The sequence below is a fragment of the Homo sapiens genome, chromosome 17 (assembly GCF_000001405.40).
Source record: "Homo sapiens chromosome 17, GRCh38.p14 Primary Assembly".
NCBI classification, from domain to species: Eukaryota; Metazoa; Chordata; class Mammalia; order Primates; family Hominidae; genus Homo; species Homo sapiens.
This window is the reverse complement of record NC_000017.11, coordinates 81636349-81663309: the sequence shown is the minus strand read 5'-3', so window position 1 is coordinate 81663309 and position 26961 is coordinate 81636349. Positions and strand designations below refer to the sequence as shown.

General features: G+C 55.7%; 3 protein-coding genes across 18 annotated transcripts in view, besides 1 other annotated feature; 2 read left to right on the top strand and 1 right to left on the bottom strand.

Annotated features, from left to right (window-relative positions):
* Positions 183–12851, top strand: PDE6G (phosphodiesterase 6G). 6 transcript variants are annotated; one of them, NM_001365724.1, is made up of 4 exons: positions 183–251; positions 9946–10150; positions 11625–11665; positions 12160–12851. In NM_001365724.1, the coding sequence occupies exons 2-4, from the start codon at positions 10005–10007 to the stop codon at positions 12234–12236; spliced, it is 264 nt and encodes an 87-aa protein (NP_001352653.1). In that variant the 5' UTR covers positions 183–251; positions 9946–10004; the 3' UTR covers positions 12237–12851. The 6 variants fall into 6 exon arrangements, 4 of the variants coding, with proteins under 4 accessions (NP_001352653.1, NP_002593.1, XP_016880225.1 ...); NM_002602.4 differs by lacking the exon at positions 183–251 and adding an exon at positions 6768–6817; XM_017024736.2 differs by lacking the exon at positions 183–251 and adding an exon at positions 9584–9652.
* On the bottom strand, positions 14555–26114 carry TSPAN10 (tetraspanin 10). Of its 4 annotated transcripts, none has more exons than NR_110866.1 (4): positions 20862–21005; positions 17681–18318; positions 15586–15853; positions 14555–15409 (listed from the first exon to the last, which is right to left on the bottom strand). NR_110866.1 is itself a non-coding variant. In NM_031945.5 (4 exons), exons 2-4 carry the CDS (start codon positions 20895–20897, stop codon positions 15016–15018), a joined length of 1068 nt encoding a protein of 355 aa, NP_114151.3. In that variant the 5' UTR covers positions 20898–21050; positions 25904–26114; the 3' UTR covers positions 14561–15015. The 4 variants fall into 4 exon arrangements, 3 of the variants coding, with proteins under 3 accessions (NP_114151.3, XP_047292843.1, NP_001277141.2); NM_031945.5 differs by lacking the exon at positions 15586–15853 and adding an exon at positions 25904–26114 and having other exon boundaries at positions 14561–15409; positions 20862–21050; XM_047436887.1 differs by lacking the exon at positions 15586–15853 and adding an exon at positions 25904–26114 and having other exon boundaries at positions 14561–15409; positions 20862–21020.
* Positions 26198–26961, top strand: part of NPLOC4 (NPL4 homolog, ubiquitin recognition factor) — an 80228-nt gene continuing 79464 nt past the window's right edge. For all 8 annotated transcript variants that reach the window (XM_011524980.2, NM_017921.4, NM_001438810.1 and 5 more), the window contains exon 1: positions 26198–26394. In XM_011524980.2, coding sequence (XP_011523282.1) covers positions 26380–26394 — 15 coding nt within the window. In that variant the 5' untranslated portion in view covers positions 26198–26379. The remainder of the gene's footprint in view (positions 26395–26961) is intronic.
* Positions 26259–26468: a silencer, noted in NCBI's record as "silent region_9140". NCBI's record gives its function as "represses an Ori minimal core promoter by ATAC-STARR-seq in GM12878 lymphoblastoid cells {active_cell/tissue: GM12878}" and the evidence as "EXISTENCE:reporter gene assay evidence [ECO:0000049][PMID:35858748]".

The following is a 26961-nucleotide window of genomic DNA, read 5'->3' as shown; positions in this document are numbered from 1 at the left end:
CAGTGGCAGTCAGGGAAACCTGCCATAACCAAGTGGCCTGTTCTCTAATGTCACCTACATGGGTTTTTAATCTTTGCAGATTCATGTGTGTAAGTACAGGATGTGGGATTTGCAACCTTATGTGGTCCTCCCTGCTCACCTAAGATGTAATCTACAGCTACCCTATTATCTAAGACAACCTGAGCCGGTGAATGAATTCCTCTCTGCTGGGCGGCCTTGCCGACGCACTTTTCTCAGCAAGAATTCCCGAAGTAAGATTCCTCATCCTGTGCTCGTGGGATGCCACTCCCCACCAAGTCGCCCAAAGACCCAGGTCCATATTTTTGGTACCCAGGATCCCCAAAGCAAGTCCGCGGACTGCTTAGTTCTGTAGCCTCCGCCTCCTGGGTTCAAAGCCATTCTCCTGCCTCAGCCACACAAGTAGCTGGGACTACAGGCGCGTGCCACCACATCCAGCTAATTTTTTGTATTTTTACTAGAGACGGGGTTTCGCCATATCACCCAGCTGGTCTTGAACTCCTAGGCTCAGGTAATCCACTTGCCTCGGCCCTGTAAAGTGCTGGGATTGCAGGCATGAGCCACTGTGCCCGGCCAACTGCTTAGTTTTCATGAGTTGTTTAGTTAGTGAGAGCTATAAACCAAAAGTATCTGAGACAGGCCTCAATGAATCTACTTACTGATTTATTTGAGATGAAGTTTTGCTCTGTGGCCCAGGCTGCAGTGCAGTGGCGCGATCTCGGCTCACCACAACCTCCACCTCGCGGGTTCAAGCGATTCTCCTGCCTCAGTCTCCCAAGTAGCTGGGACTACAGGCGTGCCCCACAGCGTCTGGCTAATTTTTATATTTTTAGTAGAGACGTGGTTTTGCCATGTTGGTCAGGCAGGTCTCCAACTCCTGACCTCAAGCCATCTGCCCACCTCAGCCTCCTGAAGTGCTAGGATTACAGGTGTGAGCCACCATGCCTGGCCAATTTATTTATTTTTTATTTCAATACTTTTTGGGGAACAGGCAGGTTTTGGTTACAGGGATGAGTTCTTTAGTGGTCAATAAGTTTGGAAAGGTTATTTTGCGAAGGTTGACGACATGCCTGTGACAGCCTCAGGAGGTCCTGGCAACATGTGCCCAACGTGGACACATGTTGCTTTTATACTTTTTAGGGAGACATAATACATCAATCAATACCTATCATATGTACATTGGTTTGGTCAGGAAAGGAGGGACAACTTGAAGGGAGGGGGCTTCCAGGTCATAGGTAGATTTAAAGATTTTCTTTTTTTTGAGACAGAGTCTCGCCCTGTCACCCAGGTTGGAGTGTAGTGGTGCGATCTTGGCTCACTGCAACCTCTGCCTCCCGGGATTAAGTGATTCTCCTGCCTCAACCTCCCGAGTACCTAGGATTACAGGCACCTGCCACCATGCCCGGCTGATTTTTTTTTTTTTTTTTTTTTTTGAGACAGAGTCTCACTCTGTCGCAGGCTGGAGTGCAGTGGCGCAATCTCGGGCTCACTGCAACCTCTGCCGCCCAGGTTCAAGCGATTCTCCTGCCTCAGTCTCCCAAGTAGCTGGGATTACAGGCACCCACCACCACGCATGGCTAATTTTTGTAGTTTCAGTAGCAACGGGCTTTCACCATCTTGGCCAGGGTTGGTCTTGAACTCCTGACCTTGTGATTCACCCGCCTCAGCCTCCCAAAGTGCTGGGATTACAGGCGTGAGCCACTGCACCCGGCATGCCTGGCTAATTTTCGTATTTTTAGTAGAGACGGGGTTTCACCATATTGGCCAGGCTGGTCCCGAACTCCTGACCTCAGGTGATCCACCCACCTCTGCCTTCCAAAGTGCTGGGATTACAGGCATGAGCCACTGTGCCTGGCTGGCTTTCAGGCTTTTTGTCTTTGGCTTGAAGGTGGGGTTTCACTGGGGACCTGCCCGTATCTGCCTAGGCATTCGACTGCCTCCTGCCACCATCAGGCATAGCTCACTGCAGCCTCAACCGCCAAGGCTGAAGTGATCTTCCCATCTTAGCCTACCAAGTAGCTGGGACTACAGGCAAGTGCCACCATGCCCGGTTCATTGTTTTTTGTCTGTGTCTGTATGTGGAGATGGGGGTCTTCCTACGTTGCCCAAGTTGGTCGTAAACTCCTGGGCTCCTGCCTTGGCCTCCAAAGTGCTGTGATTACAGGTATGAGCTACCATGCCCAGCCTACAAAACAATTTTTAAAAACTTAGCTGGGCATGGTGGTGTGTGCCTGTAATCCCACCTACTTGGGAGGCTGAGGCAGGAGGATCACTTGGGCCAGGAAGTCAAGACGGAAGTAAGTCATGATTGCCTCACTACACTCCAGCCTGGGTGGCAGAGACCCCTGTCTCTAAAAACAAAACAATCACACACACAATCATATTCATAGTTCAACATGAGCACTTGAAGTAATTAAAGACCCCAGGGCAGCACACAGAATCTGCTTAGCCTGTAGATAGAGAACACAAGAAAAGCCATGGCAAAAAACTACGTATGTCCGGCCGGGCACGGCAGCTCACGCCTGTAATCCTAGCACTGTGGGAGTCTGAGACGGGCGGATCACTTGAGTCTAGGAGTTTGAGACCACCCTGGGCAACATAGTGAGACTCTATCTTTACAAAAAATACAAAAATTAGCCGGGTGTGGTGGTGAGCACCTGTAGTCCCAGCTACTCAGGAGGCTGATGTGGCAGGATTGCTTGAGCCTGAGGAGGTCAAGGCTGCAGTGAGTTTGTTTGTTCTCAAAAAACAAACAAAAAACAGTTTATAGTCTTTATACACAGCCGCTTTGGGAAAGCTCCATTCCTTAACTTGTGCTTGTCTTGGTCTTCCTGTGTGTAGTTACTGCTGTAGAAAAGTATTAATAGCTTCATTTTTTTGTTTTGAGACAGAGTCTCTGTCGCCCAGGCTAGAGAGCAATGGCACAATCTCTGCTCACTGCAACCTCCACTTACCGAGTTCAAAAAATTCTCCTGCCTCAGCCTCCCCAGTAGCTAGGATTAAGGCACCTGCCACCACGCCTGGCTAATTTTTTGTATTTTTAGTAGAGACAGGGTTTCGCCATGTTGGCCAAGCTGGTGTCGAACACCTGGCCTCAGCTGATCCACCTGCCTCAGCCTCCCAAAGTGCTGGATTACAGGTGTGAGCCACCGTGCCCAGCCTAATAGTCTCATTTTGTTTCTTTTCTTTTTTTCTTTTCTTTTTTTGAGATGAAGTTTCGCTCTTGTTGCCCAGGCTGAAGTGCAATGGCACGATCTTGGCTCACTGCAACCTCTGCCTGCTGGGTTCAATCGATTCTCCTGCCTCAGCCTCCTGAGTAGCTGGGATTACAAGCATGCACCACCACGCCCGGCTAATTTTGTATTTTTGTAGAGACAGGTCTTCTCCATGTTGGTCAGGCTGGTCTCCAACTCCTGACCTCAGGTGATCCGCCCACCTTGGCCTCCCAAAGTTCTGGGATTACAGACGTGAGCCAATGTGCCCGGCCTAATAGTTTCATTTCATGTAAACATAAGTAACTTCCAAGCAATTACGTAGAGGGCTAAAATTGTACCTGGTATTTAAGTCATCAGAACCGGTTCTGCAAGTGACTGTGTTTTGCATTATTGTGAAGATATGAAAATGTGGTGAACGACAATTTAAAGAGTGTTCCACATCACCGTTTAATTTCTTTTTTATTATTTATTTATTTTTGAGATGAAGTCTTCCTCTGTCGCCCAGGTTGGAGTGCAGTGGCGCCATCTCAGCTCACTGCAACCTCCGCCTCCCGGGTTTAAATGATTCTCCTGCCGCAGCCTCCCTGGCAGCTGGGACTACAGGCGCCCGCCACCACGCCCCACTAATTTTTTTAGTTTTAGTAGAGATGGGGTTTCACTATATTGCCCAGGCCGGTCTCAAACTCCTGACCTCAGGTGGTCCAGCCACCTCGTCCTCCAAAAGTACAGGGATGAGCCACCATGCCTGGCCTATTTTACTATTTCAGAGTTGAGGTCTCGCTCTGTCACCCAGGTTAAAGTGCAATGGTACAATAATAGCTCTCTGCAGCCTTGAATTCCTGCAGCCACCGATATTTCACTTCTGCATTCCAGCCTAGGTGACAGAGCCAGATCCTGTCTCTCAAAAAAAAAAAAAAAAAAAAAAGATATGGATTGCAATCTTGTTTCCTCTGGGGCTGAGTGAGGGATTGAGCCATGTGGGACAAGAGGTTTTTGACTTGTTCCATTTATTGCAGCATAACTTGAATCCAGCCGTCCTTTCTGGACTAGTGATTTTTGCCAGTCTCATGGCTAGAGTTTTACAATCAAGGCTATAGGGTCTTTGTTTAGGTCTATTTGGAGCTTTATGTATTTTCATGTGATTGTCTTTGTATATTGTCTGTGATACATGATACCAAAAAAGGAGTACTCATACATTTTATTTTATTTTACTATTTATATTTTTATTATTATTTTTTGAGACAGAGTCTCACTGTTGCCCAGGCTGGAGTGCAGTGGTGCAATCTCAGCTCACTGCAACCTCCACCTCCTGGGTTCAAGCGATTCTCCTGCCTCAGCCTCCTGAGTAACTGGGACTACAGGTGCATGCCACCACGCCCAGCTAATTTTTGTATTTTTAGTAGAGACAGGGTTTCACCATGTTGGCCAGGCTGGTCTTGAACTCCTGATCTCAAGTAATCCACCTGCCTCGGCCTCCCAAAGTGCTGAGATTACAGGCGTGAGCCACCATGCCCGTCCAGGTTTTATTTTTAATTTTTCAAAATTTTCATATTTCTTCAGAGATAGGGTCTCTCTCTGTCCCCCAGGCTGGAGTGGTTTGACCATGGCTCACTGCAGCCTCGAGCTCCTAGGCTCAAGGGATCCTCCTGCCTCAGCCTCCCAAGTAGCTGGGTCTATAGAAGTGAGCCACTGTGGCCAGGCACGGTGGCTCACACCTGTAATCCCAGCACTTCGGGAGGCCAAAGTGGGCAGATCACGAGGTCAGGAGATTGAGACCATCCTGGCTAACATGGTGAAACCCTGTCTCTACTAAAAATATTAAAAATTAGCTGGGCGTGGTGGTGGGAGCCTGTAATCCCAGCTACTCAGGAGGCCGAGGCAGGAGAATCACTTGAACTCAGGAGGCAGAGGTTGCAGTGAGCCGAGATCAGGCCACTGCACTCCAGCCTGGGCAACAGAGCGAGACTCAGTCTCAAAAATGAAATAATAAAATAAGAAGTGAGCCACTGCACCTAGCTAATTTTTTCTATTTTTTGTAGAGATGGGGGGGTCTCACTATGTTGTCCAGGCTGGTCTTGAACTCCTGGCCTCAAGTGATCCTCCTGCCTCAGCCTCCCAAAGCGCTGTTTGAGAGCCACTGCTCCCGGCCGAGTTATGGGTTTTTATTTATTTATTTATTTATTTATTTATTCATTTGAAACAGAATCTCGCTCTGTCGCCCAGGCTCTAGTGCGGTGGCGCGATCTCGGCTCACTGCAAGCTCCGCCTCCCGGGTTCACGCCATTCTCCTGCCTCAGCCTCCCAAGTAGCTGGGATTACAGGTACATGCCACCACGCCCGGCTAATTTTTTTGTATTTTTAGTAGAGTCGGGGTTTCACCATGTTAGCAAGGATGGTCTCGATCTCCTGACCTTGTGATCCACCTGCCTCAGCCTCCCAAAGTGCTGGGATTACAGGCATGAGCCACCACACCAGGCCTGAGTTATGGGTTTTTAAAGGTGCAGAGGCAGAGGTCACAGGCAAGTCATAAATCAGTACATGGAGGTTGTACACTGGTTTTGCCATAAATAGCAAGGAGATCTTGAAGCCAGGGACCACGGGTCATAGGTGGATTCAAAGGTTTTCTGATTTGGTGCAGAAGCGAATCTTTGTCTAAAACTTTGGGATCCGCAGGAAAGAATGTTAGCTCTGGGTTGTGGGCATGGCCTCCTCCAGGCCCCTCAGGATGGGCATAGCCTCCTCCAGGCCCCTCAGGAAGAAATTTAGGTAAGAGAAGGGTGGTCAGAGGCCAGTCCTCAGCTCCCGCTCATGTGAGGTCTGTGTGCCAGCACGCCCCTTTGGTGGGAGTCCCTGTTTCTGGAAAACAACTGAGGAGCACCTGCTAAGATGGCATGGTTTGCTTCTGTGGAGACTCTCGGGACTCTGGCTTCCATCTGTTGTTCTAAGCTCCTGTGACCTTCTTGTGACCTTCCTGTGGATCGGCTGCTCATTTCCTTCTCTGGGCTGGCTGGGGGCCTGGCTTGCCCTTGAAGGAACTCAACATTGTCCTTGCTTCTGTGCTTGGGAAGACCCACAGGCCCCTAAGGGCGGGGGGGGGTCCTTGTTTGGTTTCAGGAGCAGCAGGTGCAAAGGCCCTGGGGTGGGAGGGGTGAGATGTGAGGCCACAGCAGCGGGTGAGGGCCAGGCTGCAGAGGGTTTTGGGGACCATGAAGGTGGGCCCTTCAGAGATCAGGCAGGGTCAGGAAAGGCAGTAGGGAGGCCCAAGACAGCAGACACTGTGGTTGCTTCCATCTGGAAGATGGGCAGCTGCAGGAGCCTGGCTGTTCAGGGTCACACTTCTCTCCCTGTCCCGGCCCCATCTGCTGGGTGTCCTTCCTTGGAGCCCTTGACAGCACCTGAGCCCCTCCTCTCCATCCCCTGAACCTTGGTGGTTGTGCCCCCCCTCGGGGCCCAACAATCTCATTAGGGTGGCACTGAGACGCCTAATCAGCTCATGAAGCAGCGAGATAAAGGCCGGGGCTGGCACCCTGCGGAGGGAGGCCCAGCACTCACAGCACAGCCCCCTGAGACCCGCCCTGCACTTGGTGAGTAGTGGCCAACCCCGCTGTCTTTCCTGGCAGCCACTTCCCCCAGTGAGTCAGTGGGGGTCTGCTCATCACCCAAGGGGCAGAGGGAGCTGACAGGCTTTTACCACCGTGGCTGAGGTCTGGGTCTGCAGATGCCTACCCGCCACCCTGTTATTCAGAGGGGACTCCCAGCCAACCTCCTCCTCTGCTCCCCCATGGTAACCAGTGCTTCCACCATCCCCAGGCCAGTGATGGTCTGGGAACCTCAGGCCACGTGGGCTCAGCTGACCTGAGTGGACGCCAGTCACAGGCTGGGTCGGGCCAGGGCAGCGCAGGCAGCGGTTTCCACATGGATGGCATCTGATGGTTGGAGCTCCATCAGGGCCCAGAGCTGCCCAGGACAGCCCATGTCCCAGGGCTGGAGAAGCAGCTGGACGGGGCCTGTGCTATCTAGGATATGAGGATTGGGTGCCATGGGATCTGAGCAGCTGGGACCACCGGGCTCCTGAGTGCTGGTTTTGCACAGGCTGGTGCTGGTCCCAGTCCCGGGGACAGAGGCTGAACCTTAGTGAGGGAAGGTGCCATGGCAGGGTCCACCCCAATCCCAGGTGCCCAGCACCCCTTGCAGAGCCCGCGTCCCCAAAATGGGCCACCTGCCCTTGCTTTCTGATCACTCTCACGCCTGAAGCTCGGCAAACAGCTGGTAGTAGCCCAGGGCTGGAGTCAGGAATCCCAGCCAAAAAGACCAGGGGCAGGAAAGGGGACCCCAAGAGGTGGTCCCTGGGGCATCCAGTGCGGGCAAGCAGCCCCTCCTGTCTGTGTCATGTGCCTCCTTCCAGAACTTTCCGGCAGCATGTGCAGCTGACAGCAGCTCGATGGGAGATTAGGAATTCCCCTCTGCTGTTAATAGGCTTAGGGGAAGCTGAACTGCCCTTGGCCCAGGTCACTGGGGCTTAGGGCATCTGGGGAGAGGCTGTAGGGAGAGGAGGAGGAGAGGCCACCCTGTGCAGCAGTGCAGGGACACTGATCTCGTCCAGAGCGGCCGAGGCCCTTCAGCCACGCCACGCCACGCCAGGCGGGTGACCCTGCTCCCCGAGCTGACTCCAGACACAGAGAGGGCCTGGTGATTCCCCCAGCAGGGGGAACACATGCCCGGCACCCTCCGTCCCCAAGCCCCAGCTTGTCCCTCTATGAAGTGGGGTTGGGGAACGCAGGGCTTCACAGCTCAGCACCAAGTCTCTGAGACAGGCCCCTTTCCCAGGGGCGCCGTGCCTGGGGACCCTGCCCCCCATTTTGTGGGTCATTCTCCATCAGCACTGCGGGGTGCCCGTCATGGTGCTGAGGGGCTCAGGGATGCCTCCGTGAGTGGGTGAAGGGAACTGACAGCACCCCAACTGCAAAGCACAGACAAGAGGCAGAAAGCAATAAACCCATCAATAAGAATCAGAGGGGTTGGCCGGGCGCAGTGGCTCACGCCTGTAATCCCAGCACTTTGGGAGGCCAAGGTGGGTGGATCACGAGGTCAGGAGATCGAGACCATCCTGGCTAACATGGTGAAACTCCATCTCTACTAAAAAATACAAAAAAAAAAATAAATTAGCCGGGCGTGGTGTCGGGCGCCTGTAGTCCCAGCTACTGGGGAGGCTGAGGCAGGAGAATGACGTGAACCCAGGAGGTGGAGCTTGCAGTGAGCTGAGATCGTGCCACTGCACTCTAGCCTGGGCAACAGAGCGAGACTCCGTCTAAAAAAAAAAAAAAGGTGAGATTCCAGCCACAGCTCTGGAATAGGATCCTAGGGGGCTACTTTGGCAGGTATTAAAACTTTTTTAGGCCGGGCGCGGTGGCTCACGCCTGTAATCCCTGCACTTTGGGAGGCCGAGGCGGGTGGATCACAAGGTCAGGAGTTTGAGACCAGCCTGACCAAGATGGTGAAACCCCATCTGTACTAAAAACACAAAGAAAAATTAGCTGGGTGTGGTGGCGCATGCCTGTAATCTGAGCTACTCCGGAGGCTGAGGCAGGAGAATTACTTGAACCCGGGAGGCAGAAGTTGCAGTGAGCCAAGATCTCGCCACTGCACTCCAACCTGGGTGACAGAGCAAGACTCTGTCTCAAAAAAAAAAAAAAAAAAGAATCAGAGGGCAACAGCCCGGGAGACGCCCACCAGCCTGGAATCAGGGCTAACTCGACGCGTGATGAGAAGCGGCAAATCAGAACCTAAGGACACAGTGGCTGCAGGGCGGGGGTTCAGGGGAGACCTCCCTGAGCGGGAACTTGAGATGGAGGCAGCCCACTAACCATCAGGAAGGGCAGCTCAGAGGCAGGCTCCTCTGCTGGGCCTGGCAGGCCCATTCCCAGCAGGAGCCACAGAGGACTTTCATCAGAGTAGCAGCTGGGCCGGGTGCGGTGGCTCACGCCTGTAATACCAGCACTTTGGGAGGCTGAGGCGGGTGGATCATGAGGTCAGGAGTTCGAGACAACCTCGTCAACATGGTGAAACCCCGTCTCTACTAAAAATGCAAAAATGCAAAGATTAGCCGGGCATGGTGGCAGACGCCGGTAATCCCAGCTGCTGGGGAGGCTGAGGCAGGAGAATCACTTGAACCCGGGAGGCGGAGGTTGCAGTGAGCCGAGATAGTGCCACTGCACTCCAGCCCAGGCAACAAGAGCAAAACTCTGTCTCAAAAACAAAACAAAACAAAAAAAAACCCAGAGTAGCAGTTAAATGCCGACGGGAGTCACGCTTCCCTGGGGTGGGGAACGCAGGGGAAGGGGCAGGAAGTTGTCAGTGGTCACCCACAGGGAGGTGGTGAGGACTCCAGGCTCAGGACCTGCCACAGGTTGGGAGGCTAGGTTTGCTGTGGATTGTGGGCCGGGGCGAGGGAGGCCAGGACAGGGGGGAGTCCGGAGCTGTGTGTGGCCAGCGTTGCAGGGGGGCATCCACTAGGCAAGGGGAATGGGAGCGTGCGGGTGGACCCAAGCAAAGCTGGCAGGCTGGTTACCCCAGGGCGGATTGCAGGGGCTGCTGTCTGGATGACGCTGGAGCTGGCGGGGCTGGGTCTCAGCCCCTCCACCGGTGGGTTGAGACCCCCACAAGGGTTGGAAGCAGGAGGGCTGACTGGGACCCGGGCCTGGTCTGCCCCCAGACCGCAGCAGGAGGGAGTCCAGGAGCCAAGGTTGCCGCGGTGTCTCCGTCAGCCTCACCATGAACCTGGAACCGCCCAAGGCTGAGTTCCGGTCAGCCACCAGGGTGGCCGGGGGACCTGTCACCCCCAGGAAAGGGCCCCCTAAATTTAAGCAGCGACAGACCAGGCAGTTCAAGAGCAAGCCCCCAAAGAAAGGCGTTCAAGGGTAAGCAGAGCTGGGGGATGGGGCCTCTGAAAGGGAGGAGGCGGTCCTGAGGCTGCACAGGAAGGGGAGGGCGGGGCAGAGCCTGGGGCCACTTCACTGGGTGAGTGGTCCCAGCCTCACAGCTGGGGAAGGTAGGGCGGTGCCTGAGGGCCTGAGCAGGGATGGAGGAGGGGGAAGGGGAATTGGGGGCTCCTGTCACCCGCTCCAGATGCTACTGCCAACCATGCTTGAAAATACAGCCACTGCCGGCCAGGCGCGGTGGCTCAGCGCTTTGGGAGGCTGAGGTGGGCAGATCACCTGAGGTCGCGCCCGGCCTAAAAAAAAGTTTTAATACCTGCCAAAGTAGCCCCCTAGGATCGCGAGTTTGAGACCAGCCTGACAAACATGGAGAAACCTGTCTCTACTAAAAATACAAATTTAGCCAGGCGTGGTGGTGCACGCCTGTAATCCCAGCTACTCAGGAGGCTGAGGCAGGAGAATCGCTTGAATCCAGGAGGCAGAGGTTGTGGTGAGCTGAGATCGCGCCATTGCACTCCAGGCTGGGCAACAAGAAGAACAAAACTCCGTCTCAAAAAAACAAAACGGCCGGGGGCGGTGGCTCATGCCTGTAATCCCAGCACTTTGGGAGGCCGAGGCGGGCGGATCACGAGGTCAGGAGATCGAGACCATTCTGGCTAAGAAGGTGAAACCCTGTCTCTACTAAAAAATACAAAAAATTAGCCGGGCGTGGTGGCGGGCGCCTGTAGTCCCAGCTACTCGGGAGGCTGAGGCAGGAGAATGGTGTGAACCCGGGAGGCAGAGCTTGCGGTGAGCCGAGATCACGCCACTGCACTCCAGCCTGGGCGACAGAGTGAGACTCCGTCTCAAATAAATAAAAAAAATACAACCACTGCCACCCAGGGACAGCCATGGCACAATGCACCGAGGAGTGTCCACTCACACATGCGCACACACGGGCATCTCGCTCCCATCAGTGCACCGAGGAGTGTCCACTCACTCGTGTGCGCACACAGGCACCGCGCTCCCATCAACGCACCGAGGAGTGTCCACTCACACGTGTGCGCACACACGGGCATGACACTCTTATGCACAAACACGCTCACACCTCCACATATGCACGTGAGGCACACTCACAGACAAGCCACCTTCACAAATCTACACTCAGACCATGCACCAACCACGCACCCCCCCGTACTCCCCCAGGGCACGCACCTGCCCAGCATCCTGGGACTTGCACCTCCTTTTCTAGGCCTCAGCCCCATGATGCTCTGGGCAGCAGACTCACCCTGGGTCTGTGAGGGAAGCCTCCTCAGATGCGCCAAGCCCTGGGAGGTTGGGGAGGAGGCGGGTCTCTGCCCACTGGGCTCCCAGCCAAACACCTCATCTCCTAGGAAGGCTAGAGATGACCTCGGGCCTCAGGCTGACTGAGCCAGGACTGGGCCCGGCCATGTCCCTGAGTGCTCTGTCCTTGCAGGTTTGGGGACGACATCCCTGGAATGGAAGGCCTGGGAACAGGTATGACGGCTGCCAGTACCAACCCGAGGTCTGCCCAGGTCCCCCCAGGCACACCCAGCACGCCCGGGGCCCATTGCAGCCCACCTCGGCCCCCACCTCCCCTGCTTTTCACTTAGGGACCCCCAGCCTGTCCATCACTTCTTCCCCCAACACTGAGCTCCAGATCCACTGGATCTAGAGGGTGGGGCTGTCCCCATTTGGGACACTTGCACCAGGTGAGGGGAGGGGTTTGGGAAAGAACAGAACCCCTCGCTGCCTCCTCCCCCTTCAGCAAGCCCCACCCTCCTCTGGTTCCCTCCCCTGGACCTGCTGCACCCACCCTCCTTCCCCCACAGCCAGTGTGTCCCCAGAGGAGGGCCCCACTCCAGCGTCCGCACGTCCCCGCTCAGCACACTGTAGGGCTACACCTGGGCTGTGGGAAACAGGGCCACAGGGGATGGGGGGGTCCCTAGGCCGTGGGATCCTCTCTGATCCGTGGCCCGTTTCTCCCACAGACATCACAGTCATCTGCCCTTGGGAGGCCTTCAACCACCTGGAGCTGCACGAGCTGGCCCAATATGGCATCATCTAGCACGAGGCCCTGCTGAAGTCCAGACCCTCCCCCTCCTGCCCACTGTGCTCTAAACCCTGCTCAGGATTCCTGTTGAGGAGATGCCTCCCTAGCCCAGATGGCACCTGGACACCAGGATGGGACTGCAACCTCAGGTCTCCCCCTACATATTAATACCAGTCACCAGGAGCCCACCACCTCCCTCTAGGATGCCCCCTCAGGGGCTGGCCAGGCCCTGCTCAACATCTGGAGATACAGGCCCACCCCTCAGTCCTGCCCACAGAGAGGCTTGGTCGGTCTCCACTCCCAGGGAGAACGGGAAGTGGACCCCAGCCCGGGAGCCTGCTGGACCCCAGATCGTCCCCTCCTCCCAGCTGGAAAGCTAGGGCAGGTCTCCCCAGAGTGCTTCTGCACCCCAGCCCCCTGTCCTGCCTGTAAGGGGATACAGAGAAGCTCCCCGTCTCTGCATCCCTTCCCAGGGGGGTGCCCTTAGTTTGGACATGCTGGGTAGCAGGACTCCAGGGCGTGCACGGTGAGCAGATGAGGCCCCAAGCTCATCACACCAGGGGGCCATCCTTCTCAATACAGCCTGCCCTTGCAGTCCCTATTTCAAAATAAAATTAGTGTGTCCTTGCCTGTCTGTGGCATATTTGTGCATGGGACAGGGCCTGTGGTGGGGTCACTTGAGCCGGAGCACATGGGGGAAGGGGTGGGCAGTGGGGCAGGAGGGGCTGGCCTGCCTGAGTGGGAAGACAGCCCTTGGGCTCACACTCTCACTGAGCCTTGCTGGTGGCCCCAAGACACGCAATGTCAGGCCATGGCTGGGTCAAGGCAGAAGGCCTTGGTGCACACCCAGGGGCCATAGTCAATGAAGCATGCAGGTGGCTGGAACAGGCCACACAGAGAAGGTGAGACTGGACATGGCTTACACCACACGCCGTGAGGCCGGAGCTCCTACTCCCACCTCACAAGAGAGAAACTGAGGCACAGTGACACTAGCAACTCCCCCAGAGCACCCAGCCAGCTCGTCCTTAGACAGTGCCCACTAAAACTGGCTGTATCTGGGCACAGTGGCTCATGCCTATAATCTCAGCACTTTAGGAGGCCAAGGCGGGAGGATCACTGCAGTCCAGGAGTTCAAGACCAGCCTGGGCAACATAGCAAGACCCTGTCTGTATTTGAAAATAACAATAGGCTGGGTGCGGTGGCTCACGCCTATAATCCCAGCACTTTGGGAGGCTGAGGCAGGCAGATCACGAGGTCAGGAGATCGAGACCATCCTGGATAACGCGGTGAAACCCCGTCTCTACTAAAAATACAAAAAAAAAAAAAAAAAAAAATAGCCAGGCGTGGCGGCAGGCGCCTGTAGTCCCAGCTACTTGGGAAGCTGAGGCAGGAGAATGGCGTGAACCCAGGAGACGGAGTTTGCAGTGAGCCGAGATCGTGCCCCTGCACTCCAGCCTGGGTGACAGAGCGAGACTCCGTCTCAAAAAATAAAACAAACAAACAAACAAAAAAAAAGAAAATAACAATAATGAGGCTGGGCACCGTGGCTCACACCTGTAATCCCAGCACTTTGGGAGGCCAAAGTGGACAGATCATTTGAGCTCAGGAGTTCGAGACCAGCCTGACCAACATGGAGAAACTCTGTCTCTACTAAAAATACAAATTAGCCAGGCATGGTGGCCCATGCCTGTAATCCCAGCTACTTGGGACGCTAAGGCAGGACAATCACTTGAACCTGGGAGGCAGAGGTTGTGGTGAGCCAAGATCGTGCCATTGCCCTCCAGCCTGGGCAACAAGAGCGAAACTCCATCTCAAAAAATAAAAATAAAAAAAATACAAAAAATTGTCTGGGCGTGGTGGCGGGCCCCTGTAGTTCCAGCTACTCAGGAGGCTAAGGTGGGAGATTGCTTGAGCTAGGGAGGCGGAGGCTGCAGTGAGCTGAGACCCTGCCACTGCACTTCAGCCTGGGTGACAGAGCGAGACCCTGTCTCAAAAGAAAACAACAAAAACAAACATGCCCATTTGTAACCAAGATCCCACTCCTGACACCACATCCAGGGGAAGCAAGAGCTCTGCAAGCTGGCCCAGCAGCAGGGGCCCTCACAGTAGCCCCCTGTTCACATGGACCAGTCCATTCGCAGCAAGGGCCAGATCTGACTCCCCACAGACCCTCTGGGATTCCGCTTATGTGAAAGCCCGAAACAGGCCCCGCTGGCCCTGGCAATGTAGTCAGTGCAGGGCTGACTTGGGGTTGAGCGCGCCGCCAGGGGCTGGAACTCCCCGATCGGACCTGCGGTGGTTCACGGTCTTCGATGGGTAAGAATTCCCTACGCTGCCTCTGAAGATTGGTGTCTTTACTGTATGAATGATACACCCGAATAAAACATTTACTATCTCCCCAAAAATGCACTCGGGAGGGAGAGGCCTGGACCTTAGCTCCACCATCACGAGCCCAGAAGGGGTGGCGGCCCCAGGGGAGGGAGGTGCCAGGAGGTGGGAACTGTGCGGCTGGGGTGGGAGTGGGGGCTCGGAGGTGAGGGTCAGCTTCAGGATTTCCTCCGGCCCCGCGTGCTCCTCCCGCCAGTCCCGTGGCTTCGCCGGGCGCCCTGCGTTGGGGGCTGGCATGGGGGACGCGGAGCGAGCGAAGTGAGCGAGCTGGGTAGGTCCTGCGGCGAAGTCACCCGAAGCCCGAGCGAAATCAGGCGGCGGCGGCGGCGCAGGCCGCGCTTTTTAGCCGGGCGGAGGCGCCCCCTGTATCCCTGTGCGTGGCGGTCTCGGACCTCGGGGCGTGCGCTCAGCCCCGGGCGGGCTTGGCAGCGGGCGGGGCGCCGGGGCTGGGGCTCTGGGGGCCAGCGCGGTCCTCCCCGCGCGCTCCGGGGCCGTACGCCGCCCCCCTGCGGGCAGCGAGGGCCCCGAGTAGCCGGGCGGCCAGCAGGAGCTCCGCGCCCTGCAGCAGCACCACCGCGATTGCGTAGCCGCCCGAGGCAGCCAGGTTCGCGCGCAGCCACCGCCGGAGCGGCGGGCCGCAGCCCTCCAGGTACACCACTCTCTGAGCTGCGTCCGCATCCAGGCGCAGGACCCCGAAGCCGCACTGGTCGTTGACAGAGGCTCCATCTTCGCGGGGGTCGATGCAGCAGGAGGCGGGAAGGCTGCAGGCCTGCACCCCGGGGGAGCTGCAGTTAAAGTACCTGCAAGGCGCATGGAATCGTCAGTTCTGGCGGGGAGGGCCCGCTCTTCTGGGACCAGGCACAGAGGCGAATGTCGCCTACCCACCTTCACCCTTCCATGGCCACACAGGCACATGCACACACGTGCATACGCCCTCCTATTCGCACACACCTGCACACACGGACACACACAGCACCTGGCTCTCTATAACGTATCCCTGTGCACGGCAGTCCTCTGCGCTTGCAGGTAGGGGTGGTGGCTGTGTTGACTAGCAGGAGGATATTTAGTGAGACGGTTGAAGGGGGAACAGACAAGCATTGATAAGAGGACCTCCCTCCGCAGAGGCTGCTGAGCTCATTGAGAAGGTAGAGTTGGAGCAGGGGAGGGTGGATGGAACTCTGGCAGAGGCTTCTGGAATGGTCCACAGGTCTTACTGGGAAGAGCAAGGGCTTGAGAGGCAGTACCTGGCAGTGACAGAAAGCAGGGGTGGGGGAGGAGCTCCCAGGGTAGCTAGGGAGTGTTGATCTCATCACAGCCCAGGTCAGGCAGTCCCCAGGTGCCCTAGGCATCCACTGATGTCTGGGGCTCTGCACACGGGCCCAGCAGACCTGCAGGCTCATCCCCATGCCCTCTCCACTCTAGAAGAGTATGCCCCACTTAGGCAGGGGATGGGGACGAGGCCAGCAGCAGACGTGGCATCACGACACTCTAGGGGGACTGCCACCAACCCAGTCACACGTGGCCAAAAACCAACCTATGTGGTGCTTTGCAGAGTCTGGAAGGACCCGCCTGTTAGCCACTGCTGGGTCCCAATGGCCAGTTTTCAGGGTTGCCTATGACTTCATCTCTTGTGTTCAGCTGCTCCTGGATACATGCACCAAGAAGGCTTGGGAGACAGAGTGCATATCGTCTGTCCTGGGTGTGGCATGGAGAGTAGGTGCTGCTTGGGGTGTGCATGCACTGGGGATAGCTGATAAAACAGACAGCTACCCTCTTTACAGTGAGCCGAGATCGAGCCACTGCACTCCAGCCTGGGCGAGAGGGAGACTCCGTCTCAAAAAAACAAACAAACAAACCAACAAAAAGACAGCTACCCTTGAGCAGAATATAAGAAAATCCTGCACTGGATCCTAAATGCACGGCGTTTAATGACACTCACGGTGGAGGGAAACTGTGGAGTCAGATTCCAGAATAATGTCCTGAATTCACCTAAAAGTCATTTTCTTTTCTTTTTTTTTTTTGAGACAGAGTCTCCCTCCATCGCCCAGGCTGGAGTGCAGTGGGGCGATCTCGGCTCACTGCAAGCTCCGCCTCCTGGGTTCACGCCATTCTCCTGCCTCAGCCTCCTGAGTAGCTGGGACTATAGGCGCCCGCCACCACACCCAGCTAATTTTTTCTATTTTTTAGTAGAGACGGGGTTTCATCGTGTTAGCCAGAATGGTCTTGATCTCCTGACCTCGTGATCCGCCCGCCTCGGCCTCCCAAAGTGCTAGGATTACAGGCGTGAGCTACCGCGCCCGGCCTTTTTTCTTTGAGATGGATGCTCGCTCTGTTGCCCATGCTGGAATGCAGTGGTGCTGTTTTGGCTGCAACCTCCACCTCCTGGATTCAAGTCATTCTCCTGCCTCGGCCTCCTGAGTAGCTGGGATTACAGGTGCCTGCCACCATGCCTGGCTAATTTTTGTATTTTTAGTAGAGATGGGGTTTCACCATGTTGGCCAGGCTGGTCTTGAACTCCTGACTTCAGGTGATCCGCCTACCTCAGCCTCCCAAAGTGCTGGGATTACAGGTGTGAGCCATCGTGCCCAGCAGAAAAATGACTTTCTAAGTTTGTGGGCTCAGCTTCTCAACTAAGCTCCTGGGTAGTCCTCCTGGCCCTGGCGGGGGGAACAGAGTCACCCTGCACGTTCTGGGGGCCGCAGGGCTGATTGGGGCCCTGAGCCCATAGAACAAGGAGAGGCAAGCACCCCTATACCTTGTGTGCATGACACGTGTGTGTATGAACATGTTTGAGTGTGAGTGTGTGCCTGAGTGTGAGGCTGTTTTGTGTGTGCACAAGAACATGTTCATGTCAGTGTAGAGGAGTGTGTAGGTGTGTGTCCACACACGTGAAACCTGTGAGCACGAGACGTGCCAGTGTGGATATGCGTGTACATGTGGGTATACGTGTGCATGCATGTGGGCATGCACGAATGAGTATGTACGTGTGAGTGACTGTGTGTACACGCACAAGGGTGTGTGGCCTCTGCGACCCTGTGGTGGCCCTGTCCCTCGCCCACTCCAAGACTCACAGGTTCTGCTGCCAGTCCTGGTAGGAGGCAGCTCCGCAGCACCTCAGCCCGAGCTGGACTTGGTCGAGGAGGAAGCGCAGGTCTGGGTCGTCCTGGTAGTGGGCGATGGCCACACGCAGGGTGTGCTCCAGGCTGTCTTGCAGCGGGCCCCAGAGGGCCACCACCAGGGCCCCCGCCACGGCCTCAAGCACCAGGAAGGCAAGGATGCCCCCAGAGAAGCCACGTAACAGGCAGGTGTTCTCACAGAGGGCGCCCAGGTAGCCAGCCAGGCTCACTGCGCTGACCACCAGCCCTCCCAGTGCCAGCCCCAGCATGGGGTCTGCGGGCAGGGGCCCCCCCAGATCACTTCCCAGAGACCCCTTGACAGCCAGGCCCCAGAGCCCGATGGCCAGGGCCAGCAGCCCCAGCAGGGAGAAGGGGAAGTTGGAGAGGAAGATCAGATACTTGACGCAGCTGCTCCCTGGGGAGAGGGAAGGGGCTGGTCCTTTCTTGGGGGTGCCACTCAAGGCCTGGTGCTTGGTCTCCGGGGGACAGCAGCTGCAGCCCCAGGCCTCCGCCTGGTCCTCCCTGGGCACTGGACCTAGGCAGCCTGAGGTGGGTGGCCTGTGCACAGAGAGGGGCTTCTGGCCTGCAGTTTCCTGCAGAGGGAAGAGGAACAGGGTGAGACCGCATTCACCCAGACTCTGTGACAACTGGTGAGGGGTCAGGGAAGAGCATGGTGGCAGAGCCTTCGAGGGATGGGAGGATGCCGGATGGCGGAGGGCAGCACTGGAGCTCAGAGATGCGGACAGCCAGGGGCAGGGGGCCCTCAGGGCCGTCCCGCTCGGCTGAGCAGCAGAAGGGGCAGTGAGGGTCCCAGCTCTGGTGGGACCCCACCTTTAGAACAGGGTGATGAGCAGACTCTGAAAGGCTGTGGTGAAGACCAAGCAGGGCGGTGCTCAGTGAACACACCCACTCCCTCCTGGTCCTATGCGTGGGTGTCTGCGGCCTCCCCGGGTCAGGGTCGCCCTGGCTTTCCCGCAGCACACAGGCGGGGCTGCGTCCCCAGAGTTTGAAACAGCATCTGCGTGGATCAGTCTGTGTGTGCCTGCAGCATGGAACTTGTGTAGAGGGGCTTCCTCACCAGCCACAGGGGCTGGCCCACATGGCTGCCCTTTTCTTTCCCCTCTGAAACCAGTCCTCACATCCCAGCACCCATTCTTCGGCCCCACCAACGGCCCGCACTGAGTGTGGACACGGCACTGGACCCTGCTGCCGAGGACAGGACAGTGCCCTGCCCAACAGGCTCCCAGGACAGGGAGGAGGGTGCCCAAGAGCCCAGGAAGACCGCCTGGAGGCTGCAGGGCCTTCAGAGGGGACCCCCTGGCCCACTGGCAGGAAAGGCTTGCTGGTCTCTCTCTGTGGGGGAAGAGGCAGCCCCGCAGGTGCCCAGTTCTGCCGGGAAGAGTTTTTTTAAAAAGGAGAATAAGAAGCTATGGCCGGGCTGGACGTTGTGGCTCACGCCTGTCATCCCAGCACTTTGGGAGGCTGAGGTGGGTGGATCACCTGAGGTCGGGAATTCGAGACCAGCCTGAGCAACGTGGAGAAACCTCATCTCTACTAAAAAAAAAAAAAAAAAAAAAATTAGCCGGGCGTGGTGGCACACACCTGTAATCCCAGCTACTTGGGAGGCTGAGGCAGGAGAATCGCTTGAACCCAGGAGGTGGAGGTTGCATGAGCAGGAGGCAGAGGTTGCATGAGCAGAGATCGCGTGACTGCACTCCAGCCTGGGTGACAGAGCGAGACTCCATCTCAAAAACTAAATAAATAATAAAAAGCAGCCATGGCTGTGTGCTGGGCAAGGATCCCATTCCAATCCAGTTTCACCAGGAAGAAGCTGATCACAGCATCAGGCTCTCAGCTCACTGCAGCCTCAAACTCCTGGGCTCAAGCCATCCTTCCTCCTCAGCCTCCTGAGTAGCTGGGACTACAGGCACTGCAACCATGTCCTGGTAATTTTTTTTTTTTTTTTTTTTTTTTGAGACGGAGTCTCGCTCTGTCGCCCAGGCTGGAGTGCAGTGGCGGGATCTCGGCTCACTGCAAGCTCCGCCTCCCGGGTTCACGCCATTCTCCTGCCTCAGCCTCCCAAGTAGCTGGGACTACAGGCGCCCGCCACTACGCCCGGCTAATTTTTTGTATTTTTAGTAGAGACAGGGTTTCACCGTTTTAGCCGGGATGGTCTCGATCTCCTAACCTCGTGATCCGCCCGCCTCGGCCTCCCAAAGTGCTGGGATTACAGGCGTGAGCCACCGCGCCCGGCCGTCCCGGTAATTTTTTAAAATTATTTTTTGTAGGCCGGGCACGGTGGCTCATGCCTGTAATCCCAGCACTTTGGGAGGCCGAGGCGGGTGGATCACGAGGTCAGGAGATCGAGACCATCCTAGCCAACATGGTAAAACCCTGTCTCGACTAAAAAAAATTAGCTGGGTGTGGTGGCATGTGCCTGTAATCCCAGCTACTCAGCAGGCTGAGGCATGTGAATTGCTTGAACCGAGGAGGCGGAGGTTGCAGTGAGCCGAGGTTGTGCCACTGCACTCCAGCCTGGTGACAGAGCGAGACTCTATCTAAATATATATATATATATATATATATATAATATTTTGTAGAGACAGGGTCTCGCTACATTGCCCAGGCTGGTCTTGAACTCCTGGGCTCACGCAATCTTCCCTCCTCAGCCTCCCAAAGTGCTGGGATTACAGGAGTGAGCCACTGTGCCCGGCCCCAGAGGAGGGTTATTTATCACCCCCAAGACCTCAACAAGTCACTAGAAGCAAAAGGACAGGCTGTCAGTGCCTGGTTGGCCAGACTGGGGCCACTGGGGGCCAGAGGCCGTTGGAGGCTGGCTGCAAGGGACATTTGCCTTCACCCCCTCCTGCACCCTGAGCCAAAGATTGCCCCCAAGGCCCTCAGGGAGATCTGGCAGATCCCTTGACCAGAGGCCAGCATGGGGCTGAGAGAACTGCGCAGTGGGGAAGGGGGAGGGGGCTGCCTAGAACCACCCCCCTCAACCCAATCTCAGCATTGAGGTGTGGGGTGGCACCAGGGGCAGGGGTGGGTGTGAACCCAGCCCAGGGACTTCCCTTAGGACTTCAGGGCTGGGGACATCTCCAACCTCAGGGCAAGGCCACTTGGCATGGCTCACCTGGGACAGTAAGGGGCTCCTCTCCCCCTCCTCCATCCTTGACGCTGGAACAGAAAGCCCCCAGCACAGGCGCCGGGAGAGGTTCGCTGGCTCCTCTGTGGCTGGGCTGCTGGGCTGGTCCTGACTGCGGCCCTGGGCTAGTCTGTGAACAGTGCAGCCCTGGGCATGGGAATGGGGGAGGTGCGAGCCCTACCCAGATGCCGGAGTCACAGTTGAGTCATGTGAAGAATCACATTTTAGAGCTTAAGGAGGCCTCTGCTTGTGGAGATATATTTCTCCCCAGCCCTGGCTCTGTGGGTCCCCTAAGCTCAGCGCAGGTGTGACTCAGGCAGGCATGTTTGGGTGCCAGCCTTGTGGCTCTCACTGCAGCCCCCCATGCGGACTTCAGCTCTGCAGGGTCAGCAGCCGCTCCATCAGCTCCCAACCAGGGAATCAGACCCTGGTAAATTGGTTCACAACCCCAATCCCAAGAGACCCATGGGCAGCCCCAGCGCCAATCTATCCCCCGGCTTGTTCACTGCACGAATGAAACAGCGTCCCCCCACCAGATCACCTCCTTGTTTTTGTTTTTGAGACTGAGTTTCGCTCTTGTTGCCCAGGCTGGAGTGCAATGGCGCAATCTCGGCTCACTGCAACCTCGCCTCCCGGGACTACAGATGTACGCCACCTTGCCTCACTCATTTTTGAATTTTTTTTGTAGAGACAGGGTTCTGCTGTGCTGCCCAGGCTGGTCTTGAACCCCTGGACTCAAGTGATTCTCCTGCCTTGGCCTTCCAAAGTGCTGGGATTACAGGCTGGAGCCACTGTGCCCGGACTCAGCCACCAACACTCAGCAGTCCAAAGAGGTGGTCTGGGTGGTGCAGCACAGCAGGCAATGTACTGATGGAGCAGGCAGAGGGTTTCAGGCGCGCGTGAGACGCCTGGGTGGGAGCACACCGGGCAAGTTTTAGGAGGAAAGGTCACCTGGCTGTGTGGGGCAAGCGGAGATGGGGGTGGGAGGGAGGTCCATGAGGTGACAGGGCTGGATCAGGTGAGGCCTTGAAGGCCACTCTGAGTCTTCAGATCTTCCTCGGAGAAGTGGGATATGCTGCAGGTGGGAAGTCGGGGCGAGGACCAGAGCTGCAGGCTGAGCTTCTGGGCTCCAGCTTCCCTTCACCTCCCCAAAGGTGACAAACCCAACCTCATGGGCCCTGCAGCAGCTCCACAGCCAGGGTCACGGTCACAGGGACTGTCCACGGCCTCCAACTCAGTCTGTTCTAAGGATGGGTAACCTTTTTTTTTTTGAGACAAGAGTCTCGCTCTGTTGCTGAGGCTGGAATGCAGTGGCACGATTTTGACTCACCGCAACCTCTGCCTCCTGGGTTCAAGCGATGCTCCTGCCTTGGCCTCCTGAGTAACTAGGATTGCAGGCGCCACACCTGACTGATTTTGTATTTTTAGTAGAGATGGGGTTTCACCATGTTGGCCAGTCTGGTCTCGACCTCCTGACCTCAAGTGATCTGCCCGCCTCCTCCTCCCAAAGTGCTGGGATTACAGGCGTGAGCCACCACGCCCGGCCAAAGTCTGGGTAATCTTTTAATGAAACGATCATCATCTACCACTGTTATGGCTGAATTGTGCCCCTTACATTCTTATGATAAAGTTCTAGCCCCCCGGACCTCAGAATGGGACTTGGAGACAGGGCCTTTAAAGGCCATTAGGGGCTGGGCGCGGTAGCTCACACCTGTAATTCCAGCACTTAGGGAGGCCGAGGCAGGTGGATCATGAGGTCAGGAGATTGAGACCAGCCTGGCCAACATGGTGTGACCCTGTCTCTACTAAAAGTACAAAAAATTAGCTGGGCATCGTGGCGCATGCCTGTAATCCCAGCTACATGGGAGGCTGAGGCAGGGGAATTGCTGGGACCCAGGAGGCAGAGGTTGCAGTGAGCCGAGATGGTGCCGCTGCACTCCAGCCTGGTGACAGAGCAAGACTCCATCCCTAAATAAATAAATAAGTGCCATTAGCGTGGGCCCTAATCCAACATCCTTACAAGAAAATTGGGACACACGGTGGGACACATGGAGAGACACGAGGAATGTGTGCACAGAAGAAAAAACATGTGAGGTCTCGGGGAGAAGGTGCCATCTTCGAGCTAAGGAGAGAGGTATAAGAAGAAACCTGGCTGGGTACAGCGGCTTATGCCTGTAATCTAAGCACTTTGGGAGGCTGAGGTGGGTGGATTGATTGAACCTAGTAGTAGTTAGAGACCAGCCTGGGCAACATAGCAAGATCCCATCTCTACTAAAAATACAAAAAGTTAGCCAGGTGTGATTGTGAGCACTTGTGGTCCCAGCTACTGAGGAGGCTGAGGTGGGAGTATCACCTGAGCCTGGGAAGTCGAGGCTACAGTGAGCCACGATTGTGCCACTGCACTCCAGCCTCGGCGATGGGAGTGAGACCCCAGTCTTTTCTTTTTTTTTTTTTTTTGAGACGGAGTCTTGCTCTGTCGCCCAGGCTGGAGCGCAGTGGCGTGATCTCGGCTCACTGCAAGCTCTGCCTCCCGGGTTCACGCCATTCTCCTGCCTCAGCCTCCCGAGTAGCTGGGACTACAGGCACCCGCCACCACGCCCGGCTAATTTTTTTTTTATTTTTAATAGAGACAGGGTTTCACCATATTAGCCAGGATGGTCTCGATCTCCTGACTTCGTGATCCACCTGCCTCGGCCTCTCAAAGTGCTGGGATGACAGGCGTGAGCCACCGCGCTGGGATGACAGGCATGAGCCACCGTGCTGGGATGACAGGCGTGAGCCACCGCGCTGGGATGACAGGCGTGAGCCACCGCGCCCGGCCAAGACCCCAGCCTTAAAAGAAAAAAAAAAGAAGAAAACAAAGGAGAAACCACGTCTACTGACACCTTGATCTGGGATTCTAGCTTCCAGGACTGTTAGGAAGTAATTCCAGGCCGGGCATGGTGGCTCATGCCTATAATCCCAGCACTTTGGGAGGCTGAGGCGGGTGGATCACGAGGTCAGGAGATCGAGACCAGCCTTACCAACATGGTGAAACCCTGTCTCTACTAAAGATATAAAAATTAGCCGGGCGTGGTAGCGCACGCTTGTAATCTCAGCTACTCAGGAGGCTGAGGCAGGAGAATCGCTTGAACCCACGAGGCGGAGGTTGCAGTGAGCTGGGATCGCGCCATTGCACTCCAACCTGGGCGACAGAGGGAGATCCGACTCAAAAAAAAAAAAAAAAAAAAAGAAAAGTAATTCCAAACCACCACCCAGTCTGTGAGAGATTTTGTTATGTTATATTTTCTTATAACTGAGATAATTATTACAGTTAAAGAGATCGGACTTAACTGAACCCATCTTGCTTCTAACCTCCAAGCTGTCCTTGTTCATTCCTGGGTGTAGGCTGAAATAACTTCGGGAGGCGCTTAGTTTATAGTTTAGCTTTGAAACAAAGATGGTAACAGCCCTTTGCAAAACAAACTCCCTTCCTACCTGGGGACAAGACTGCCTTTTCAGGACTAACAAATTAGCCATAAGATTAGAAATTATGGTTTAGGAGTCATGTAGCTGGAGGCTACAAGATTCTAAACCTCCCAAATTGCTTCTCAGGATAACATCACTATTAAAAAACAGATCAGCGCTTGAGATATTTTGCAGACTCTGCACTCCATGGATCAGCTGGCACCACCCAGATTGATAAACTGGCTCATATCTTGTGGCCCCCACCCAGGAACCGACTCAGCACAAGAGGACAGTTTTGACTCCCTATCATTTCACCTCTGACCCAACCAATCAACACTCCCTACTTTCTGACCCCATACCCACCAAATTATCCTTAAAACCGCGGATCCCCAGCCGGGCACGGTGGCTCACGTCTATAGTCCCAGCACTTTGGGGAGGCCCAGGTGGGCGGATCACCTGAGGTCAGGAGTTCAAGACCAGCCTGACCAACATGGAGAAACTCCGTCTCTACGAAAAATACAAAATTAGCCAGGCATGGTAGTGTGCGCCTGTAGTCCCAGCTACCCGGGAGGCTGAGGCAGGAGAATCACTGGAACCCAGGAGGTGAAGGTTGCAGTGAGCCGAGATCGCGCCACTGCACTCCAGTGTGGGTGACAGAGTGAGATTCGGACTCAAAAACAAAAAAAAACAAAAAACAAAAAACTCTGATCCCTGAATTCTCAAGGACACTAATTTTTTTTGAGTAGTAATAAAACCTCAGTAACCTGTACAAGCTGGCTCTGTGTGAATTAAACTCTTTATTGCAATTCCCCTGTCTTGATAAAGTCTAGGCAGTGGGCAGGGACAATATGTTGGGTAGTTACAGTGGCACCCTGAGCAAACTAATACAATTACTAACATAATTTAATCAATTAATGTAATTTAACATAGTTTAAAAAAACTGTCACAGTAATTGTGATGTTGTGAAATATGTATACATTTAGTCTTCCGGTTTCCTGGTATCCAACTCCAAAAATCCTTAGAATCTGTGAAGTGACGTCTTTTTTTTTTTTTTTTGAGATGAAGTCTCACTCTGTCGCCCAGACTGGAGTGCAGTGGCACCAACTCAGTTCATTCTAACCTCCGCCTCTTCGCTTCAAGAGATTCTCCGGCCTCAGACTCCCGAGTAGCTGGGATTACAGGTGCCCGCCACCACGCCCAGTTAATTTTTGTATTTTTAGTAGAGACGGGGTTTCACCACGTTGGTCAGGCTGGTCTTGAACTCCTGACCTCAGGTGATCCACCTGCCTCGGCCTCCCAAAGTGCTGGGATTACAGGCGTGAGCCACCGCGTATGGCCTAATTTTGTATTTTGAGTAGAGACGGGGTTTCACCATTTTGGCCAGGCTGGTCTCGAACTTTTGACCTCAGGTGATCCGTCCACCTTGGCTTCCCAAAATGCTGGGATTACAGGTATGAGCCACCGCGCCCGGCCTGAAATGCAGTTTAAACTCGTTTGTTTTTCTTATGTTAAATTTAAAAAATACTTAAAAAAAAAAACATGAAGGTGTGATCCTGCCTTCCTGAAATTGTTTCTCTACTTACCTGTGCATGGAGAGAAGTTTGGAATGCTGTTTCCCCAATTATAATACGCTATAATACGCAGCAGTAGTTATTTTTGGGTGAGACTTCGGATGCTCGTCTTTGCTTCCTTTTTGGACTTTCCTGTGCCGCTTGGGTTTCCGAGGACGAGCAGAAGTAATCTCAGACGCAACTTTCCAAAATCCCCTCCTCCAGTTGCAGGGATGGCGGGGGCGGGTCAGCGGCGCCGCCCTGCGCATGCGTCGAGCCGTTGGTGGGGCCGGAACCTGGTTTCCCGGCCTCGCGCCCGAGGGGAGCGTATTGAGCGAGGCACCGGGACGTCGGCGGCTGGCGGAGCCGGGCGGGCGAAGCTGGAGCGGCGGTGGCGGCGGCGTAGGGAGGCCGGGGCCGGGGCTGAGGCCGCGGCCGGGTCTGCGAGGCCCTTGGGGCGGCAGGCGGCGGCGGCCCGGGGCTCGAGCCCGGAGGCAGGAGCAGCCGCCATGGCCGAGAGCATCGTGAGTGCGGCGGCCGGGCGGGAGCGGGGACGCCGGGATGAGGCAGCAGATTTGCCGGCCTCGGCCTGTGGGGGAGGCGGGCCTGCCGGCGCCGCGACTCGGCCCCTTTCTCTTCTCTCGCCAGGGCTTTCTCTGTAGTGGCTGGGCCCCTCTCGGGGACTTTCACCCCCCTCGGCTGCTTCCCGTCCGTGTCCCTCCCCAGGGGACTTACGACCCCGGTTCCCCGCCCTGGGCAGGGAAAGGCCGAGCCTTTCTAAGCAGGGAGAATGGACTGTGGCGAAGAGAAACCGCCCTCCTTCCCCACCCGTTTCCCGGCTCCAGGAGACTTCCTGGTCTAATTCCAGGGACTCCCAGCCAGTCCTGCCCCTCTCAGAGCCAGGGACACCTCTTATCCTAATCTCCCTCTGATTCTCTCCTCCTGCTCTCCCGCTTCCCAGCAAGTGCCTTGTCATGAGTCACTAAGGAGAGCAGCTCTGCAGACGGGGACGTTACAGAGCTCCCTCCCCACCAGAAGACCTGGGAAAATGAAAACACAGTAACTTGCCGGCTTTGCTCCTTACTTGGAAG

Bases quoted from the DNA above. Each gene is read 5' to 3' on its own strand.
- PDE6G (NM_001365724.1), top strand. From the start codon at position 10,005: ATGAACCTGGAACCGCCCAAGGCTGAGTTCCGGTCAGCCACCAGGGTG. The intron at 10,151-11,624 runs GTAAGCAGAGCT...CTGTCCTTGCAG, and splicing joins CCAAAGAAAGGCGTTCAAGG to GTTTGGGGACGACATCCCTG. The intron at 11,666-12,159 runs GTATGACGGCTG...TTTCTCCCACAG, and splicing joins AATGGAAGGCCTGGGAACAG to ACATCACAGTCATCTGCCCT.
- TSPAN10 (NM_031945.5), bottom strand. From the start codon at position 20,897: ATGGAGGAGGGGGAGAGGAGCCCCTTACTGTCCCAG. The intron at 18,319-20,861 runs GTGAGCCATGCC...TTCCCTCTGCAG, and splicing joins GGAGCCCCTTACTGTCCCAG to GAAACTGCAGGCCAGAAGCC. The intron at 15,410-17,680 runs GTGAGTCTTGGA...TGCGCCTTGCAG, and splicing joins CAGGACTGGCAGCAGAACCT to GTACTTTAACTGCAGCTCCC.